This window comes from Homo sapiens, chromosome 19, assembly GCF_000001405.40.
Source record: "Homo sapiens chromosome 19, GRCh38.p14 Primary Assembly".
Classification (NCBI taxonomy): Eukaryota; Metazoa; Chordata; class Mammalia; order Primates; family Hominidae; genus Homo; species Homo sapiens.
The window spans coordinates 6,204,131-6,224,208 of record NC_000019.10 but is presented as its reverse complement, the minus strand read 5'-3'; the positions used below and the strand labels follow the sequence as shown (position 1 = coordinate 6,224,208).

The 20,078-nt window shown below is 59.3% G+C and overlaps 1 protein-coding gene across 6 annotated transcripts in view, besides 1 other annotated feature; it reads left to right on the top strand.

Annotated features, from left to right (window-relative positions):
* Nucleotides 1-13,828, top strand: part of MLLT1 (MLLT1 super elongation complex subunit) — a 69,595-nt gene extending 55,767 nt beyond the window's left edge. For all 6 annotated transcript variants that reach the window (XM_047438846.1, NM_005934.4, XM_011528023.1 and 3 more), the window contains 7 exons: nucleotides 1,525-2,088; nucleotides 6,168-6,255; nucleotides 7,696-7,804; nucleotides 10,171-10,270; nucleotides 10,412-10,483; nucleotides 10,801-10,872; nucleotides 11,039-13,828. In XM_047438846.1, coding sequence (XP_047294802.1) covers nucleotides 1,525-2,088; nucleotides 6,168-6,255; nucleotides 7,696-7,804; nucleotides 10,171-10,270; nucleotides 10,412-10,483; nucleotides 10,801-10,872; nucleotides 11,039-11,167 — 1,134 coding nt within the window. In that variant the 3' untranslated portion in view covers nucleotides 11,168-13,828. The remainder of the gene's footprint in view (nucleotides 1-1,524; nucleotides 2,089-6,167; nucleotides 6,256-7,695; nucleotides 7,805-10,170; nucleotides 10,271-10,411; nucleotides 10,484-10,800; nucleotides 10,873-11,038) is intronic.
* Nucleotides 6,553-7,467: an enhancer, noted in NCBI's record as "H3K27ac-H3K4me1 hESC enhancer chr19:6216753-6217667 (GRCh37/hg19 assembly coordinates)". NCBI's record gives its function as "activates a minimal SCP1, AML or CMV promoter by ChIP-STARR-seq in primed H9 embryonic stem cells {active_cell/tissue: H9 hESC(primed)}" and the evidence as "EXISTENCE:reporter gene assay evidence [ECO:0000049][PMID:30033119]".

Here is a 20,078-nt window from a genome sequence, read left to right as displayed (position 1 = left end):
GACACTGAATGTGGGCTGTGGCTTTGCAAGAAGATGGCCAGCCCAGGAGACTGGCCATGGGGCAGCAGCTGTGTCTGCCCTGTGGTTTTTTGCTGGGAGGAGTCTGTCCCTGGACACTCAGGTGGTTTTCAGAGGCCTCTACCCAGCCTGCCCCTCCCGCATGTCTTTGGGGGATCTGTGAAGCGTGGCCCCCCTCCTCCCTGGTACTCTCACTGCTCCCGGAGCCCCTCCCCAGGGCCTTCGGGATCTGGCTGCTGCTGGCTTCTGTGCCGGGAGGCCAGGTACACAATTGTCTGGACAGGCTCTGGGGCCGCCGTGCACCTGCTGGCCGCTGCTCCTTTCCTAGCAAGGGTGGAGCCCCTGGTGGCTAACAGCAGAGAAGCCTGCTCAGTGCTCCTGGGTGCGTGGGGTGATACAGGGTCTCTGTAGGGAAGGTGAAGGCGTGGCTCCCACCGTGGGGAGTGCTGGCAGTGTGCCTATCGGATGGGGTGTAGGGCAGAAACATACAGCATACAAGCAGCAGCGCCCAGGCTGGCCGCGGGCTGAGCCAACTCAGCCATGGTGCTGGCAGCCCCCACACTGTGTGCTCGCTGCCAGCCTGGCCTGTGCCATTGCCCAGTGAGGTGGTGGCCTTGCCCTTCCTCGAGGAAGCAGGCACAGATGGCTTCGGTTTTCTGCCTGGGTCCTGTGGTGTGCAGGTCACAGAGCTGGGCTCACTCCTGGGCCTGTGTCCTGCTGCTCTCTGCCATCATCTTACCTCTGTCCTCAATGGGATCAGCCCCCGAGTCCAGCTCCACCCTAAACCCCCGGGGTTTCCGAGGCAGAGACCTAGGAATGTCCTCGGTGTTTTAGGAAAGCGACCCAGGCGGTTTCCCTTCTGAGAAGCCCGGGAGCTGTTTGCTCCGTGCGGTACCTGGGACCCAGGGACCCAGTGGGCGCTCAGCAGTTGGCTTCCCGAAGCCAGGCCTGAGCTGGCTGGACCCTGGGGGTGTGGAGTCCTGGGGAGAGGGGCCGACGGGGCTCAGAAAGGAAGCCCGTGAGTGACCGAGCAGGAAGCACTGAGCTTCCCGCACGTAGCATGAGTGCTGGGCGAAGGAGGCTGAGATGAGGGGCAGGGCTGCGTCCAGTGCCCGCCAGCACCCCGCAGTGCCAGCGCAGCCTCTGACTTGCCCAGGCCCAGCTGTGAGGTGTTAGGGCGGGCGGGTGCGGGCGAAGTGGCCATGCTCTGCCTGACTCACCCTGTGCTCTTCTTGAATCCCTCAGGGAATGTCAGTTCAATTCTGAGGGGAATCTTAGCCTGCAGCTGCCGGGGACCAGCTGACACTTCCTAGTAGTTTAAAGGGACAGCTCCATGTAAAACTCTCACCTACTGCCTTACCTTTTTGCTTTATGGAAGAGTTTCTCTAGCTGAGGCTGAATCAGGTGGATTATGCTTTGTAGGGGTCAGGGGTGGCGGAGCAGGGCGCCCCGCAATGCCACGTGACCTTGTCTCTCCCCTTGCCCTCCCTGCTCTTGGCCTTGCAGGACGCCAACAAGGAGAGCAGCAAGACCTCCAAGCCACACAAGGTGACCAAGGAGCACCGGGAGCGGCCCCGCAAAGACTCCGAGAGCAAGAGCTCCTCCAAGGAGCTGGAGCGTGAGCAGGCCAAAAGCTCCAAGGACACCTCGCGGAAGCTGGGCGAGGGCCGGCTGCCCAAGGAGGAGAAGGCGCCACCGCCCAAGGCTGCCTTCAAGGAACCCAAGATGGCCCTGAAAGAGACCAAGCTGGAAAGCACGTCCCCCAAGGGTGGGCCCCCACCCCCACCCCCACCCCCACCCCGGGCTTCCAGCAAGCGGCCGGCCACCGCCGACTCGCCAAAGCCCAGCGCCAAGAAGCAGAAGAAGAGCAGCTCGAAGGGGTCCCGGAGTGCTCCAGGCACCTCGCCCCGCACCTCCTCCTCCTCCTCCTTCTCGGACAAGAAGCCGGCCAAGGACAAGAGCAGCACCAGAGGGGAGAAGGTGAAGGCCGAGAGTGAGCCCCGGGAGGCCAAAAAGGCCCTGGAGGTGGAGGAGTCCAACTCAGAGGACGAGGCCTCCTTCAAGTCCGAGGTGAGTGAGTGCTGGGGGCAGGGCAGCCAGGTGCAGGCAGTGTGGTGGGACCCGCCTCCCTTCTGGAACAGCGGAAGGAGGTGGGATCTGAGCCAGGACCTCAGGTCTCACCAGCTGCTCCTCCCACTGGCTTCTTGTAACCTGGGGCCTCCACGCCTCACTAGGCTTCGGTTTCCCTGTCTGTCAGGTGATAAAGTCTGCCTCGTGAGGAGTCCCTCCTCGCCTCCTCGGTGGCATTTGTGGGTGGCTCTGGTAAAGCATGATGGTGTGGTCCTGAGGTTCTGAGCTCCCCTCCTCCAGCAGCCCCCTGCATGGGCCCGGGTCTTGGCCGCTCTGGTGCCAGTGGGCAAGCGTGTCTCATGGTTGCTCTGACCATGGCGTGGTCAGCCCGGCCTGGAGCTCTGCCAATAGGGCATCTGGGAGACTCACCCTTGTCTGGAGGTTAATGATGAGGGCTTCAGACAGCCCCTAGCCATGAGGAGCAACAGGTCCGTGCCCGGCTCCCTATTTAGGTGGCTGGTGGGGTCAAGAGCATCCCTCCTGCCCACACCCATCGCACACAGCTGTGACTTGGGGATACTCACATCTGGCCCCACCAGTGTCTGAGCTTGGAACGAGGACCCCTGTCAGGGACCGGCCTTGTCACCATGAGAGGCTGCTGGCTTGTCCCACAGCACAGCGTCCGGACATTCTCAGAGGACTGCATCAGACATGACTTGAGCCGCAAGAGCTGGTAGCCACCTCATGGTCTTGTGGCCAGACCCTGTTTGGGGCCTGGGACGGCGGTGGTGTCTTCCAGCGCTATTATCTGGCACTTGGCATTTAGACAACAGACACTGGGCCCGGTAAAAATGAATGAATGGATGGATGAGGGTTGGGCCATTTACCTCTGTTGCCAGCCCCAGCCCTCAGGGGCCTTTTGTGGGTCCGGCTTGCCCTCAAGGAAGCTTTGCCTCTGGGTTGCTGAGGCTTTGAAAAGCCGCTGGGGCTTTGAATGCAGGTCCCAGCCACAAAGCCCGAGGGGGTTATGTGGGCAGCGCTCATTGCCCCCAGGGCCCTCATGGAGGTGGTGGGGCTGGCTGGGGGTGACGGTCCAGCCTCTGGGTAACAGTGCATCCTGGCTCATAGACACATGGGCTGGCAAGGCTGAGTGCCCGGTGCTCCCATGGCTTGGCAGTGGCTGAAGACGGCACCATCTGCTATGACCCTGAGGCGGTGGGGGGGCCGGTGCCACCTTCCAGAAGTCCCGGCCCATCTCAGTAGCCCTCCCAGCTGTGGGAGGGCCTGGCGGTGCCTGCTGGGCACCGAGCCTGACCCCTTCTCTGCCTGTGCAGCAACCACAGCCCTGGGCAGGCGCTTGTCCCCTCCCTTCTACCCCAGGGTTGGGGATAGGTACTGAGTGACATGCAGTCCCAGGCCAGGCATCTCCAGGCGAGGTCTTCTGGTACCTGGGGCTGGGTGTGCAGCACGCTGGGCAGCGGCAAGGCAGCTCCACGGCCCGCTCCACTCCGCTCTGCTCACCCGGCCTGGCCCCCGGCAGTGAGTGAGTTGGCTCCTGGCTCCCGCCACCAGTGTTGTGAAACAGCTGGAATATTTTGTGGGGAGCTTCCTGCCACCTCGGACGCCGCTGCTTAGAGTGGCTGGGTGGCCTTGAGGCTGGAGTTGCTGGAGGAGGCTTTGGGACTTCCTCCTGGCCGAAGAAGAGCGCCCCGCGTGCTGAGAGGCTTTTGAGCAATGCGGCTTAGCGCCCCGAGGTCTGTGCGGGAGTGAGACCCAGGCCCCAACAGCACAGAGTCCCTGACGCCTCTTCCCCCGGGGGCTTCACCGAAGCCCAGGCTGCTATGGTGAAGAAGCACATCGGCCTTCCAGACCACTGGCCCCTTGGCTTCCCCTTGGCCGTCTTGGGCTGCTCCTCCCCAGAGGCTGTGTGTGGCTGTGCTACCAGAACCGGCCATCGGAAGAATCTGCACCAGCTGGGGTCTGGCCCACGCCCACCCTCGTAGGGCCACTCTTTGGGCCGAGTCCCCGAGCCGAGCTCCCACGTCCTCCAGCTGCTGCCTTGGGGTCTCCCTGGCCCTTGGGGATCTGGAGTCAGTCGTGGACCCAGTCTGCTCCGCCCTCCCTCTGAGCCCCGGGCGTGCTCCGGTGGCCCTTCTGATCACACCACCTTAGGGCTCTTCTGGCTGAGACCATTTCCGGATTCTTTTCCTCCCTGCCCCTTGGATTTGGGCGGAAGGAAAGGGGATGCGTGTGCCTGACTGGCTTTCCTCTGTCTGGCACGGCGCCAGGACAGGCTTGGGGGCCTCTCGGGGCTCAGCATCCTCTCTGCTTCCATCCCTGCTGACCTTGTGCAGCCTCCTTTGGCCGCCTGAACTGCCCCCTCTCCACCTTTAGTGAGAAAGTGCATGGGATATGGGGCCAGGACCTTGGATACTTCTCCAGTCCACCTCCCTCCAGGTTGGTGCCCACCCCTCTGCCCCAGGGATTCCATCCGGAGGTCAAGGGAGGACTAGCCTTGGCCTCGGTGTGCAGGCAGCTGGCGGTGCTGGGAAAACTGAGGCTGACATAGGACGGCCTTGTTCTGAGTAGCAAGGCCTGCTGGTTAGAAGGCTGGGGTTAAATAGGCCATCTCTCGGTCACCTCTTACTCACCCCTGGCCCCCAAGAACAGAAGTCCAGGCTGTGCATCACCCAGCTCCAGGCAGGCCCAGCCAGGGGTCCTGGACGCTCTGGGGTATGTGTCCGGGACTCAGGTAGCCTGAGTGGGCAGTGACTGATGGGCACCACGGCAGGCTTTCCCAGTGATGATTCATCAGGGAGCGCCATGTGTTGGTGGGAAGGGGCGCTGGCAGGGGCTGGTTTGAGGGGCAGGAGGGGGCTGGGTTGGGCTGCAGTAAACCCTTGGGAAGTCCCTCTTCCCTCTCAGGCACGGGTGAGTCTGGACCTGCTGCTTGGGGAGGCCTTGGGCTTTCGTGGGGACCCTTCTGCAGGGTGGAGGCTGTCTCCTCCACATGCTAGGGGAGGGGCCGGGGGCTCCCAGGCACTCAAGGTCCTGAGTCCCACCAGCTCAGTACTCCGTTCACGGCTTCCCTTGCATGGCTGGCGGCTGCAGCGGCCCCTGCCAGAATCCAGCAGACCAGCTGCCTCCTCCTGATGGAGGGAGGACCCTGGAGGGGACTGGTCTGAGGGGCTCAAGCCACCTAGTTCCACCAGACGGGCCCCCAAGGTGAGGGGGCTGCCCTGGGCCCGCCATGTCCTCTGGCACACCCCTTGGGATGAGCTCATTGGCAGAAATGTGGGCCCAGAACAATGGGCCCCTCCCCGTGCAGGTGTCTGCAGTGCCTGCCTCCCGTCCACCCAGGAGCTACGCCTCTGCCCCATACACGCCTGCCCTGCACTGTCACCCTCTGTCCTGGCATCCCACCCCTTGTGTCCTTGTTGTGGCTTTTACTGCCCCCTGGTGGCTGAGCCTGGAAGGACAGCTGCAGGAGGAGGAGGCGGGTGGGGCCGGGCTTGCCCATGGCTTCTGTCCCCTGTGCACGCACGCTCTTCAGTGTCTTGGGCAGCTGGCGGTAGGAGCAGCGAATGGGTGGGGATACAGAGCTCTCTGCCACCCCTGAGCCCCGGACAGCACTGGGTCAGAACAAGAAGTGTCCACACCCAGCTTTCCTGTTCCAGACATTTTTGCGACACCAGTCAATGCCTGCCCTCTTGGACGAAGGCAAGGCCCACCCACCTGTGGGACTTCAAGCCCCTGCCCCAGCCTCCCTCCCAGTACCCTGTGCACCTGCCTGGGTAGACAGGAGAGCCCACGTGGTCCACACGGTCTCCTGGCGCTACCGGAAACCCAGACATCCACGGGTGTCCTAGGGCTGGCACGGGAGGCTATAGGCTGCGCATGGCCTGGCCGCTGGCTCCTTAGTGGGTTCTCAGCGGCACACGTGGGTACCCTTGGGACCCTAGGGGTGTCTGGGGGAGACCCACTCAGCGTAGCTGCTGCCAGGGGGCCCCCTTTGTCTCTGCTGAAAGGTGACAGCTCTCCCTTTCTCCCCTCCCTGCCCATCCCACCATTGGGTGAAGTCTGCCCAGTCAAGCCCGTCCAACTCCAGCTCCAGCTCAGACTCCAGCTCAGACTCAGACTTCGAGCCATCCCAGAACCACAGCCAAGGTGTGTATGGAGAGCAGCTGGGGGGCACGGATGGGGCCGGGGAGGGCCTGGAGCTCAGGCCACATGGGCATTCCTCAGCGTCCACTGCCTGCACAGGCTGGGCCCTGCAGATCTGTACATGGAGGGTTTTGGTGGCCTGGGGGAGTCTATATTTAAAAGCAAAGCAGGAACAAGTCACCAGACCTCCAGTCAGGCCCGGGGGCACTGTTCCTTGTGGTGGCTGTTGGCATGCACCCCGTGCCTGGAGCCAGGCTGGTGAGGGGCTTCTGGTGAGGGCCCTGCCCATGGCCAGAACTCTCCCTGTGCTGCTGGGGACCATGGACGGACGGCGTCACCTCCTCCGCCCATCCCACCCGCTCCCCAGGGCCAGCGAGGCACTGGCTGCCTGTGGACGGCCGGGGTCTCCTGCTGCCGGAGTGTTTGGAGTGCCCTCTCCCTCTCCAGGCAGGCCACCCTGAGTAGGGGCGGCTTTTTGGGGAAAGGACATAGGCCCATTGGCTGCACCAGCCTGCCCCAGAGTGGGGAGGGCCCTGGGGACCAGGCAGCCTGCAGGACACAGTGGGAGAGCTGCCCTGAGCCCCCGGCCCCAGTCCAGACCCCAGCACCCACTCCCAGGCAAAAAGCGTTTCCACTCCTGGATTGGAACAAGAGCCTCCTTCCCCCTTGGCCTGGAATCCTTTGCAGGGGGGCTGGGGGAGAGGAGTGTGCGGGGTTGTGGAGGGAGTCTGGCCTGGAATTCAGCCGTGCAGTTGCCGAGGGGGCTGGGGGATGGGGCCCTTGAAGCCTACACTCGCTCCAAGTGTTCTTATCTGCCGGGAAGGGAGGGGGACCTACTGAAGCGGGATCATGTGACTAAGGTAATTGAGGGCTTTGTGTCCCTCTGTTGCCTTGGTAACAGGAATATAAACCAAGATGCCGTCTGTAGGGGACTGGAACCGTGTGCCTCTGGAGAAAGGGGAGGACGGTGGACTGGGAGCAGCAGAGGGGATTACCGAGGGGGTGGGCAGGCCGGCGTAGGGTGCAGGAAGAGAGATCTGTGACCCCAGGCCCAGCTTCCCAGCCAGGCTGTGGCTCCCTCGCCCTCCCTGGGCTCTCGGCAGAGCTTCTGATCTCTGTGCCCCGAGCAGAGGAGGGGTTCTCCTCCGGCTGCAGCAATGGAGGGGCCCTGCGCGCCCACTGCCGGCCAGTCCCCTGAGGCCTGCGAGCAGGGCCAGGAAGGTAGGGAGGGGTGGGGGAGCCAGGGCGTTCTAGGGGAAGCGGGTGGCTGCCGGTGTGGGGGCAGTTCTTAGAGATGGGCACAGGGACCCCCAGGTGGACGGGCGTGTGCATTTGGGGGTCACCAGTGTCAAGAAGCTCTGCGTGGCCTCATGGGCGAGGGGCCCTGGAGGCTCAGTGGAGCCCTGCCCTTGTCTCCCCTCCCTCCCTGCCCCGCCTCCCCAGGACCCCTGCGCTCCATGGTGGAGGACCTGCAGTCCGAGGAGTCCGACGAGGACGACTCTTCGTCAGGCGAGGAGGCTGCCGGCAAGACCAACCCGGGGAGGGACTCCAGGTGACGGCCCGGTGGGAGCCAGGGGGCGGAGGCGGCCACCCGGGGCGACTCCGGCTGGGTCTGCAGTGATTGTGGGGCTGCAGGTGGGGTTGGGACTGGAGGGTCCCCTGGGAGGGCCAAAGCAGGGATCCATCCCCAGGTGGCCCCAGTCCAGCCTGGGCCTTGGGGTGGGCCTGGGGCTGTGTGTCCTCTCCTGGTCCCTGAGGCTGAGGGCCTCAAGGGCTGCCCCCATCTGGGGCCTTGGGTGGCATCCCTCCTCGTGGTCACTGGCAGGTGTGGGCTATCTGGCAGGGAGGGGTGCAGGAGGGAGCCCAGGCTGGAGGTGGGGGGAGGGGAGCAGGCCTGTTTCTCTGCTCTTGGGCCAGGAGACTCCCAGTCCTTTCCCACCTGCCTTACATGGGGCGAGGATCCATGGAGAGCCCGTCCTGGGGCAGCGGACACCCAGTGTGGGAGCAGCTTTGGCTGCCTGTGGCCTTTTCCCCAGGAGGCACAGGGGTGCCGAGGCACATCCTTGGGATATGCAGGACCCTTGGCGTGACCCCACCTGGGAGAGCTCCATGCGCTCGGCCTCCAACCCAGCGACAGTGGAGAACGTGCTGGCCTTGGCCCCGGGCACACAGGCTTCAGCGGGCGGGGGTCCAGGCTTTTCCAAAGCTGTAGCAGAGCCGGCAGTCAGCCCCTCCTCCCGTGAGGCTGAGGCCTCCAGGCCTCAGTGGCTCCTACTGGAGACAGGGCTGGTTATCACCCTGCACCCAGCAAGGTGCATGGGAGCCTCACAGACGCCTGCAGGTGTGTTGTTCACTAAAGCCACCTTCACGCAAGCTGGGCAGCAGGTTCTGCTTGGTTCCCCGTGTGCAGCGCGCCAGGCCAGCAGGCACATGGCGGGATTCCCACCCACCGCAGACAGAGCAGGAGCAGTGGCTCACTGCGGGGGAGCCGCTGGTGGGAGGTCCGGGCCCACGACTCCGACAGGGACTTAGACTCTAGACACGAGGAGGGCTGTGGCGTCCCTGGGACAGGACCTGGAAGCAGGCTCCCGCCTCGTTCGGTGACATTCAGGGTGGATTCTGCTTGCGCCAAGAGCCGTGAGCGCAGAGAGGCTGACGGAAGGTTCGGTTCTAGAGGGGCTGGCAGGCACGGCACAGGGACCGAGCCACACGCGAAGCGCCTTTTGATTCCTCCCGGAACGTTTGTGTGGGCCCTGGGTGAGGGCTTGCCGGCCTTGTCCCTGCGTTGCCGGGGCAGGGAGCGCCCAGGCCACACCGTCGGAGCTTCTGCACACCCTGGTCTGCTGCCTGGGAAGCCCAGTCTGCAGCGGTGCCCAGCCGTCATCCCAGTCACCTGTGGGATGCGGGGCAGAGGCCGGCAGGAGCACAGGCAGGGGCGTCGCCTGGGCAACGTGAGCCAGACCTGGAGCTGCCAGAGCCGGGAGGCAGCTGCAGAGAGTGGCCCCAGCCTGAGGCCACTGAGGGGCAAGTTTAAGAGATGAACGGAGCCTGCGCCGGGGCAGGAGCAGGCCAGGAACAGGGACAATGGCTGTGCTGCCCACCGGGAAGTCCGGTGTGCTCGAGCCGCTTCTGGCACCTCCTTGTTCACTAGGAGGCCTGGGGTTTGCTGTGTTTTAAACGTGTTGTGAAGTGATGGTTGTCAGGGGCCCCTCTCACTGGATCAAGCCCAAAATATCCCTGGCAGAGCGGGACCCCAGGCACGCAGAGTGAGAGAAAAATGGGCCCAGGCTCTGTGTGTGGTCATAGCAGCCTCCTTTCACAGATGGGGAAACTGAGGCAGAGGTCAAAGACCTGCCCCCCAGGGTAGGGGAGGTTGAGAGCTTGGACCTCTCCCCACCACCAGATACCCCTGTTTAGGACCACACCCTCTAGGGTCAGGGGGGCCGATGTGACTGATGGAGGCCTGCTGTCCAGAGCAAACCAGGGTCAGGCGGCCAGGGGAGCATCGGAGGGACGGGCGGCCATGGAAGCCCTAGGGCAGTGCTGGGAGAAGAGGGCAGGTTTTCAGCAGGCAGCTCCTCCTCCCCTTGTTAAAGCCACAGAACCAAGTCAGAGGACCACAGCCCAGCAAGGCCCATTGGCTGGGGGGCTTTGTGTCCCGGGTATCCCGGAGCACTCTTGGCCTGCTCGGGCGGCCCCCAAAGGGCCTCTGGGTGGCCTGGTTTCCTTGGGGTTCTTTCCTCTTGGTGGCCACACACAGTATTTTTAAGTTGAGGTTCCTGCGCAGAGGTGAATGGAGCTGTTGGGGGTGTGTGGGCTCAGGCACCGACTCCGTGCGGGGCAGAGGCTTGAGCCTGGGGGTGGGGTGGGGGCCGTGGTGGCGGCAGGGGCCTGATGCGCCCCCGTGTGTCGGTTCAGGTTGAGCTTCAGCGACAGCGAGAGTGACAACAGCGCCGACTCCTCCCTGCCCAGCCGTGAGCCCCCACCCCCCCAGAAGCCACCCCCGCCCAACAGCAAGGTGAGCCTGGGGCCTGCAGGCAGGGGGTGCACCAGAGGCCGGGCTTAGCCCTGGGCCGGGCTGTCCTAGGAGGGTTTGTGGGGCCTTCGGGGCTGGGGAGGGTGTGGGCCACAGCTCAGCAGAGACCTGGGTTCCCTGCAGGTGTCAGGCCGGAGGAGCCCCGAGTCCTGCAGCAAGCCTGAGAAGATCCTCAAGAAGGGCACCTACGACAAGGTGGGGGGGCACCTACGACAAGGCGGGGAGGCTACGGAGGGGTGGGTGGTGGGAGTTGCAGCCAGTGGAGGACCCCAGAGCCCCCCAACACCCCACAGTTGGACTCTTCCTGGGCAGGAGCAGGGACAGTCCTTCCTCCCCTCCCGGTGTGGCCTTGGAGCTGAGGGGCTGCCCCTGCAGCCTTGGGCCTTCCTTGGTTTGGATGTGGCTACCTCTGTCCTGTGCTGGGATGGACTGGGTCATGGGTGGGGCTGGGCATGGGAGCAGGAAGGGTCCAGGGCCCCCACACGCTGCTGAGACCTGCCCCCCCTCCCCAGGCCTACACGGATGAGCTGGTGGAGCTACACCGGAGGCTGATGGCGCTGCGGGAGCGCAACGTGCTGCAGCAGGTATCGCCCCCCTGAGGGTCCTGCCCGGCAGAGGTCGGGGTGCCTGTGAGGAGTGTGGGCTGCGGGGGCCCCTGGTGCTGCCCCAGGAGCCCCTACCTCTGTTAGGGAACAGGGCAACCCCACCCTTGGCCCCCTGCCCCTGAAGCCACCTGCCACCACCTTACAGATTGTGAATCTGATCGAGGAGACTGGCCACTTCAATGTCACCAACACCACCTTCGACTTCGACCTCTTCTCCCTGGACGAGACCACCGTGCGCAAACTGCAGAGCTGCCTGGAGGCCGTGGCCACATGACCCTGGGCCGCGTGCCGGGCCCCCACCGCCGGGGTCCTGGGAGGCTGCAGCCAGGCCTCGCCTGCCCTCCTCTCCCGTCTCGCCTGCCCGCAGCACTGCCTTAGCGACAGCCCTGTCCTCGCCCGCACAGCCCGCTGCACTTTCCTCGGCGGCTCCCTGCCCACTCTCCCCGCTCCATCGCCAGGAGCCCTGGGGCCGGGCTGGGCCACACGGGAGCCGCCCCCCGGGCTCTCTGGGCTCCCCTCAGAGAGCGGCTGGTGTTGAAGGCAGCTCTGGGCAGAGACAGGGCCGGGGGCCCCTCGCCCAGCCTTGGGACCAGCCCCCACTGCTCGGCGGGCTGTGCGGCGTCGCTGCCCCAGCCTTTCTGAGCAGCGGATCGACGGCTGGGGGGCATCTCCAGCCTCCCGAATGGTTCAGAACACACCCTCCGCCCACCCTGGACCTCAGAAGGCCCTGCCTGTGTGTCTGCGTCGTCCTCCGTGTAGACCTAGCGCCGGCTCCTCCCCGGCTCGCGCTGCGCTGGGGTCTGTGCTGTATAGTTCTCTCTATTATATATGTGTGTGCACTGTCTGGTCAAGAGCAGTGTCCATGTGCGTTTCTGTGGCAGCAGTGCACGTGGGGTGGGTGGGGGGTGCGTACGGTGGGGCTTGTAGGTTAAGATGTCTCTGCGGTGGTGTGGGGCTGGAGGCCGAGCCAGGCACGGCAGCTGGCCCTCTCCAGGCGCATGGAGGAATTCTCCCTTTGCCGTTCCAAGGATGCCGCCGCCTCCTACCGGGGCTCCCGGGGGGGTCAGCCAACACTACAAAGGGCAGCGAGTCCTCAGGGCGCCCGGGAGCCACCAGTCTGCTCTCGGGCTCTACTCAGACTAGCGCCAACAGTCTCCGCGGACAGACTCGCATCAGCCGCCCTGGGGCTCGGCCTCCTCCCATAGGCTCCTCTTCCTCTCTTTCATTCAAGTCTTCAAACTTTGAAAAAAATATGAGCTTTTGCCAAATAAGACGGGATAGTTTATGGAGTTTTCTGAGGCGCATTGAACTCTGGTCAGCCCCTCGAGCGTGGGCTCGGCCATCAGCAGGCCCGGTGGGTTGGCCGGGCTGGCCCTCCCAGGCTGCCTTTCTCTCTGGTCGCGGCCTGGCCCGCCCCGGCCTCCACCGCCGCAATTCATGCTGGTGCCGCGCCCGCAGCCCCACTCCTGGTATGCCTGAGATTCTCCAGGGGCCAAGCCGGTCCTCCTTCCCGGCCCACTCTTCCAGGGCCAGGACGCTCCCGCGGAGCCAGCCCATCGTGGCTGGGGGTCCCAGGGGCTGGAGGCCTGCCTGGTTAGCCTCTGTTTCCCAGACATTGACTCGAGGCGCCTCCAGTCCTCTCAACCCCCTGACTTTCAAGTCCTTTCAAGTCCTTGTGCCCTGACCAAGTTATGAGGAAAAGAGGGCTGAGGGCCTGGAGGTGGGCTCGCACCCCCTCGAACCCACCTAGATGTCTCCTCCTCCCCAGCCTATGAGTTCAGACTTGGGGGGCTCCATCTGTCCCTCCCTGAGGTCCCTCATCTTGTCCCTGCTCTGATTCTGTCAGCAGATCCTGAACACTCCTTGGTGGGGACCCATGCCTCCAAGGCTGCCCCCAATGCCAGCTGTCCTGGGGAAACTCCCCAGAACTCTCGGGGAAAGGCCCGAGAACCTTCGGAGGAAGCCTCCGGGACTCCTCGCCACCTGCTCTGTTTCTCTCCCGGCCCCACTGCCTTCAGGTATCAGGAAGAGGGCAGGCCCCTGTGCCCCCTCTCCCCTTCCCAGGGCGGCCAACAATACTCCACCATGGGGCGCTTCCTTTCTTCTCTGGAAACTAAGACATTGGACTGAAGGAACTGGCCTGAGGGGGGCTGACCGGGGGCCCGTGCTGCTGGGAGCTCTACGCACAAGAGGCCGCCGGGGTCACGGACAGGAACCTCAGCCCAGGGTGCTGGCCTTTCTCCTTCGCAGGAGTCCCCCAAAATCCACACAGCGACTCGAGCAGCCTTCCACTCAGCCAGAGGAGGGTCGGGCTCCCCCGCCTGCTCTCGGTGGTGGCGTCTGGCCCTTCCTGCCGTTTCCAAGGCCTCCGGAAGCACCAACCCAGTTCTCAGTTACCTCCTCTGGCCGGAAGGCCTCACGTTGTCCTCCAGAGCTGCTCTGGGCCCAGGGCTGGCTCCGTGACCACCTGATGGACGTGCTGGGCAGCATGGGCTCCCAAGGCAGCATCCCCAGCTGCTCTCCCACCCCACCCCAGCTGCCCGGCGGCTGGGCCCACGAGGGCTCTGGGGACACTTCCATAGGAAAGGGGCCTGGCACTTTGTGATTGCCACGTGTTTCCTGTTAAGCCGCCTGCCCCCAGTGCAAATCTCTGTGTTTTGCTCTCTCCTGAACAAAAATGTAAACCGACGCCGGAAAGCAAATGGTATCGAATACCTTTCTTGCCCATAAGGGTTTTTACAAAGAACGTGTCTCACTAGGAACTAGGACACTCATCGGCCCGAGACCAACTCCTGGATAAAAGGAATAAGGAGAATCGTGTTTGTAACGAGTTACAGGATTGTTTCTTTCCTGGATTTTAAACTTTTGTTAAATTGTGAAATTATGGAGGAGTTTTATAGAAAAAAAAAGTGAAATAAAGTCAGATGGGAAAGCAGACGCATGCATCTGCCTGGTTCCTCCTGTCCAGTCAGTGGGCAGGCTTGCGAGGTAGCCTGGGGCCCCCTGCCCCGACTACGTGTCCCAGTGCCCCCAGATCAGTGACCAAAACAGAGAAGGAGGGTTGGGACCAAGCCTGGTGGGGGTGGGGAGTGTGAGCAAGGCTGGAGACGATGCTACCAGCAATTCAAGAGGGCAGAGAATTCGGCTCACATCCTGCTTCTGATGCTGTGCTCTCTACTTGGAAGCAGACAGCAAGGTTTGGGTTGAGAAGAAAACTTGGTTTCATAAGGTGGATGCATGGATGATGGATGAACAGATGGGTGGGTGAGTGGATGGGTGGTTTGATGGATGAGTGGATGATTGGTTGGGTGGACCATGGATGAATAGATGGGTGGGTGGGTGGAAGAAAGGATGGAAGGATGGATGGATCGATGGGTGGATGGAAGGAAGGAAGGAAAGGAGGAAAGGAGGGAGGGAAGGACGGAAGGAGGGAAGGAAGGGCAGATGGGTGGATGGATGGAAAGGATGGATGGTAGGAAGGATGGATAGATGGGTGAGTGGATGGAAGAATGAATGGATGGGTGGATCAATGGATGGGTTAATGGGTGGATGGAAGGAAGGAAGGATGGATGCGTGGATGGATGGATGGATGGATGGATGGATGGATGGATGGATGGATGGTTGGATGGACGGAAATAAAAATGTAGGCAAAGACATTTTTTCCCAGGAGCCAGCGTGCCATCTCCCAGTTTCCCTCTGGTGGGTTTTTCTCTGGCCTCAGTGTGGCAGAGCTCAGTGAACCTCCAGGAGACAAAGCTGTCACTGGCCCCATTTGAGCAGATCTGTCCCCTCTGTGCTCCAGCTCCAGCTCCACCCAGAGGAGCAGGAGTTCCATTCCTGAGCAGCCCACATTACAGGATCACCGTGGCAGCCACTGATTGAGATCACTTTTGTCAGCAGGCAGCAGCTGGGGACTCAGCTGGGCTCAGCTTAGCGCTGGGGACTCTGGAGCATGTCTTCTCCCTTCTACTCTGGAACCAAAAGATCCATTCCCAGCATCAGAGTGTGGCTTTCCCTGCCCCGTGCCTTACCAGAGAAAGGTTCTTTTAGGCCTTCGGGGTATGGTTTTGGGTCTGAGCTCCTAAAGTAAGAATATGGAGTGAAAGAAGGTCTACAGTGGTTCCTTCAGGGTTCCCAGACCCTCCAAGGTGCAGTGGAAGGACTATGGATGTGTAAAAACGTGGTAGGGCTTTCTGGCCAGGCATGGTGGCTCACACCTATAATCCCAGCACTTTAGGAGGCCGAGGCGGGTGGATCATTTGAGGCCAGGAGTTCAAGACCAGCCTGGGCAACATGGCGAAACCCTGTCTCTAGTAAAAACACAAAAATTAGCCTAAAGTACAGTGCACACCTGTAGACCCAGCTACTTGGGAGGCTGAGTCACAAGAATCTCTTGAACCCAGGAGGCAGAGGTTGCAGTGAGCCGAGATTGCACCACTGCACTGCACTCCAGCCTGGGCGACAGGAGAGACCCTGTACTAAAAAAAAAGAAAAAAAATCTGGGCGAGGTGGCTCACGCCTCTAATCCCAGCACTTTGGGAGGCCAAGGCGGGTGGATCACCTGAAGTCAGGAGTTTGAGACCAGCCTAACCAACATGGTGAAGGCTGTCTCTACTAAAAATAGGAAAAATTAGCTGGGCGTGCTGGCAGGCACCTATAATCCCAGCTACTCGGGAGGCTGAGGCAGGAGAATTGCTTGAACCCAGGAGGCAGAGGTTGCGGTGAGCCAAGATCACACCATTGCACTCCAGCCTGGGCAACAAGAGCGAAACTCCAACTCAAAAAAAAAAAAAATGTAGTCAGGCTTTCCCTAAGAGTTGTCTCATGGACTCTTCACAAGCACTCCGTGAGGTGGGCACTGCTTCATCCCTGTCTACAGATAAAGAAACTGCCTCAGCAAGCCGAGTTGCCCAGGATTTTTTCTAATTTTTAATTTTAACTTTTTTGAGATGGAGTCTCGCTCTGTCACCCAGGCTGGAGTGTAGTGGTGCGAGCTCAGCTGACCACAACCTCCGCCTCCCGGGTTCAATCCATTCTCCTGCCTCAGCCTCCTGAGTAGCTGGGATTACACGAGCTCACCACCACACCCTGGTAATTTTTGTATTTTGGGTAGAGACGGGGTTTCGCCATCTTGGCCAGGCTGGTCTTGAACTCCTGACCTCATGATCCACCCACCTCGGCCTCCCAAAGTGTTGGGATTACAGGCGTAAGCCACTGCGCTTGGCTCTTTTTCTTTCTTTTTTTTTTTTTGAGATGGACTATCACTCTCACCCAGGCTGGTCTGGAACTCCTATCCTCAAGTGATCCATTATCAAGTGATCAAGTTTTCCTTGAAATGGTTTTTGGGCTGTTATTGTTTATTATTTAGGATGTTTTTATTTTAAGTTCTCCCATGATTTCTCCTAGGAATTCAATTCTTCTTCCCCCTTTTCCTGCCTCCCTTCCCTCTTTCTTTCTCACATTTCAATTTGTTCCATCTGGAATTTATTCAGCCATGAGGTAGGGCCCCAGCTCTATTTCCCCAATAGCTATGCAAGGCGATCCACCCCATTTATTGAATAACCTGTCTTCACTTATTTGAGATGCCGTCTTTGGTTGCATTTTTCAATTCCTGCATACGTTTGTGTCTCTCTCTGGCTTCCCTCATATGCACAGTACTCACCTTTACATTTCTGCCACTGTGTGACCTAATTAATATCTGGTAGTGTGCCCGGACGCAGTGGCTCACGCCTGTACTCCCAGCACTTTGGGAGGCCGAGGCGGGCAGATCACCTGAGGTCGGGAGTTCGAGACCAGCCTGACCAATATGGAGAAACCCTGTCTCTACTAAAAATACAAAATTAGCCGGGTGTGGTGGCGCATACCTGTAATCCCAGCTACTCGGGAGGCTGAGGTAGGAGAATCGCTTGAACCCGGGAGGTGGAGGTTGCGTTGAGCCGAGATCAAGCCATTGCACTCCAGCCTGGGCAACAAGAGTGAAACTCCGTCTGAAAAAAAAAAAAAGTCTGGTAGTGGTAGTTTCCCTTTATAATTCTGCTTCAGAATTTTCCCAGATATTCTTGCATGCTTTTTTCTTCATATAAATGAATCCGCTTATGTTTCAGAATATTTTTATCTGTTGTTCTGACGTTTTAATTTTAATTTGTTTTTGTTTTAGACGGAGTCTCGCTCTGTCACCCAGGCTGGAGTGTAATGGCACAATCTTGGCTCACTACAACCTCTGCCTTCTGGATTCAAGTGATTCTGCCACTTCAGCCTCCCAAATATCTGGGATTACAGGCACCCGCCATCATGCCCGACTAATTTTTGTATTTTTTTAGAGAGGGGCTTTCACCATGTTGGCCAGGCTGGTTCTGAACTCCTGACCTCAGGTGATCTGCCCGCTTTGGCCTCCCAAAGTGCTGGGATTACAGGCGTGAGCCACCGCACCCTGCCCATTTGTTTTGTTTTTTGAGGCGGGGTCTCATTCTGTCACCCAGGCTGGCATGGGGTGGCGCTATCACGGCTCACTGCAGCCTCACCCTCCCAGGCTCAAGCAATCCTCCCACGATGGCTTCCAGAGTAGCTGGGGCCACAAGCACATGCCATCAGGCTCAGCTAATTTTGTTTGTTTGTTTTTTAATTTTTGTAAAGATGAGGTCTCGATATGTTGCCCAGGCTGGTGTTGAACTTCTGGGCTCAAGCGATCCTCCCACCTTGGCCTCCCAAAGTGCTGGGATTACAGGAGTGAGCCACTGCACCTGGCCTTAATTTTTTTTAAACGTCTCCTTGTTGATACTTGTGAGTTCCTGGAGAATTCTCAGTGATTTTTTCTTTTTTCTTTCTTTCTCTTTTTTTTCACATGGAGTTTCGCTCTTGTTGCCCAGGCTGGAGTGCAGTCGTGCGGTCTCGGCTCACTGCATCCTCCGCCTCCCAGGTTCAGGTGACTCTCTTGCCTCAGCCTCCCAAGTAGCTGGGATTACAGGTGTCTGCCACCATGCCTGGCTATTTTTGTATTTTCAGTAGAGACAGGGTTTCACCATGTTGGCCAGGCTGGTCTCAAACTCCTGACCTCAGGTGATCCACCGGCCTCGGCCTCAGATCTGTAACCAACTCTCATTATGTGTATGTTACACTTTCTGTATTGTCCCGCGGTTCTTTTCCATTTGTTCATTTCATTTCATTGTGTTTTTGTCTTTTCTTTTTTCTTCTTAATTAATTTTTTTTTTTTAAATAGAGGCAAGGTCTTGCTAAGTTTCTCAGGCTGGCCTTGAGTGCCTGGGCTCAGGCAGTCCTCCCCACTCAGCCTCCTAAAGTGCTGGGACTATAGGCATGAGCCACCGTGCCTGGCCTCTTTTTTTCTTTAAGATTTTCAGCATGGGATGTTTCTATTGACCTAGCTTCAGGCTCACTCAAGATTTCCTTGGCTGTATTCAGTCCACTGCCGAGCCCATTGGAAGCATGCTTTTTTTATGTCAGTGTTTTTGATGACCAACATTTCCTTTTGATTTCTTAGAGTTTCCATCTCTGCTTACAAGAACCCACCTGTTGTAAGTTCTGTCTGCTTTTTCCATTAGAGCTCTTAGCATATTATTATTTAAAATTGATATCAGCCAGGCGTGGTGGCTCATGCCTGTAATCCTAGCACTTTGGGAGGCTGAAGCGGGCGGATCACTTGAGGCCAGGAGTTCGAGACCAGCCTGGACAACATGATGATACCCTGTCTCTACTAAAAATGCAAAAAAAATTAGCCGGATCTGGTGGCGCATGCCTGTAATCCCAGCTACTCCCTGCTGGGTGAGTGCAAGGTTCCTGGGAATCCCCAGTACCTGACACTCACAACATACCCTGTTGGGAGGTGGAATTCAGGGACAGTTCAGGCTTGGATCTTGCTCTCAAGGGGTTCCCCAATGTTCTGGATGGGTGGAGAGAGGGCTCAGTGCTGGAGAGCCTCAAGAAGTGGGGAGGGCTTTCTGGAAGAGGGGACATGAATGCGGGGATTCACAGGATGTATATGAGTTCACTAGATAGAGACTGTCTGGAAAGGTGAGCTGAGCATGCTCAGGACTGGGCCATTGAAAAATCCCACTAAGCGTAGACTTAAGTGGGAGCTCTTGTCAGCTCCCTGTCCTGAGGACTCTTCCTTGGGATCCCATAGAAGGTGGGCTGGTGGCTTCCTGCCCGCAAAACACTCCGGGGAGAGGCCGCGTGCCCTTTACCCTGCCATGATGGCACCAATGCTGGCGATGACCCACTCTTCTGAGTTGAGACCCATGATTCCCACGCTGTGGAAGCGCTCCAGGCCCAGCTAGGGGAGGGAGGTCCTCGTGAGGCACTAGGAGGCTCAGCCATCCCCGCCCCACCTGCCCGGGAGCCTCAGGCTGAGAACCTTTGGCTCCCTTTTCTCTGTCGCCTGTTTCTTCTTTTTCTTTCTTCTTCTTCTTTTTTTTTTTTTTTTTTTTTTTCTGAAACAAGGTCTTGCTCTGTTGCCCAGGCTGGAATGCAATAGCGCAATCATGGCTCACTGCAGTCTCAACCTCCCCCAGCCCCAGCAATCCTCCCGCCTCAGTCCCCCAAGTAGCTGGGACTACAGGTGTACACCACCACCCCTGGCTAATTTTTTAATTTTTAATTTTTTTGTAGAGATGGGATCTCACTATGTCACCCAGGCTGGTCTTGTACTCCTGGGTTCAAGCGATCCACTCGCCTTGGCCTCCCAAAGCACTGGGATTACAGACACCTCTCTTGTCCTGTTTCTTCTGTTGTTTTCTCTGATAAAATAACCCATCCCCCTCATGACAAGCAACCACACTTTCATCTAGAACTGGGGCTCTCAGCCAGGGGGTGACTCTGTTCCTCAGGGGACATTTGGAAATACTTGGAGACATTTGGGGTTGTCATAGCTCGGGGAATGAAACGCCACTGGCATTGATGGAAACTAGATACTCACAGGACATTCTCCACCACAAAGAATGATTCGGCCCCTAAGGACAACGGCCCTGAGATTGAGAAATCCCGGAAAAAAAAAAAAAAATACAAACAAAATACCTTCCTGACATTTTTAAGCATGCATACTTTACAGAGCCAGGGCAATACTACATGTACGTTATCAAGACCTGCCTTTGTTCACAAAACCATTCATCTTGACTGTTTTCCCCAGTCTTTAAATATTTCTCTGCAATATCAAATCTAACATAATATCATCT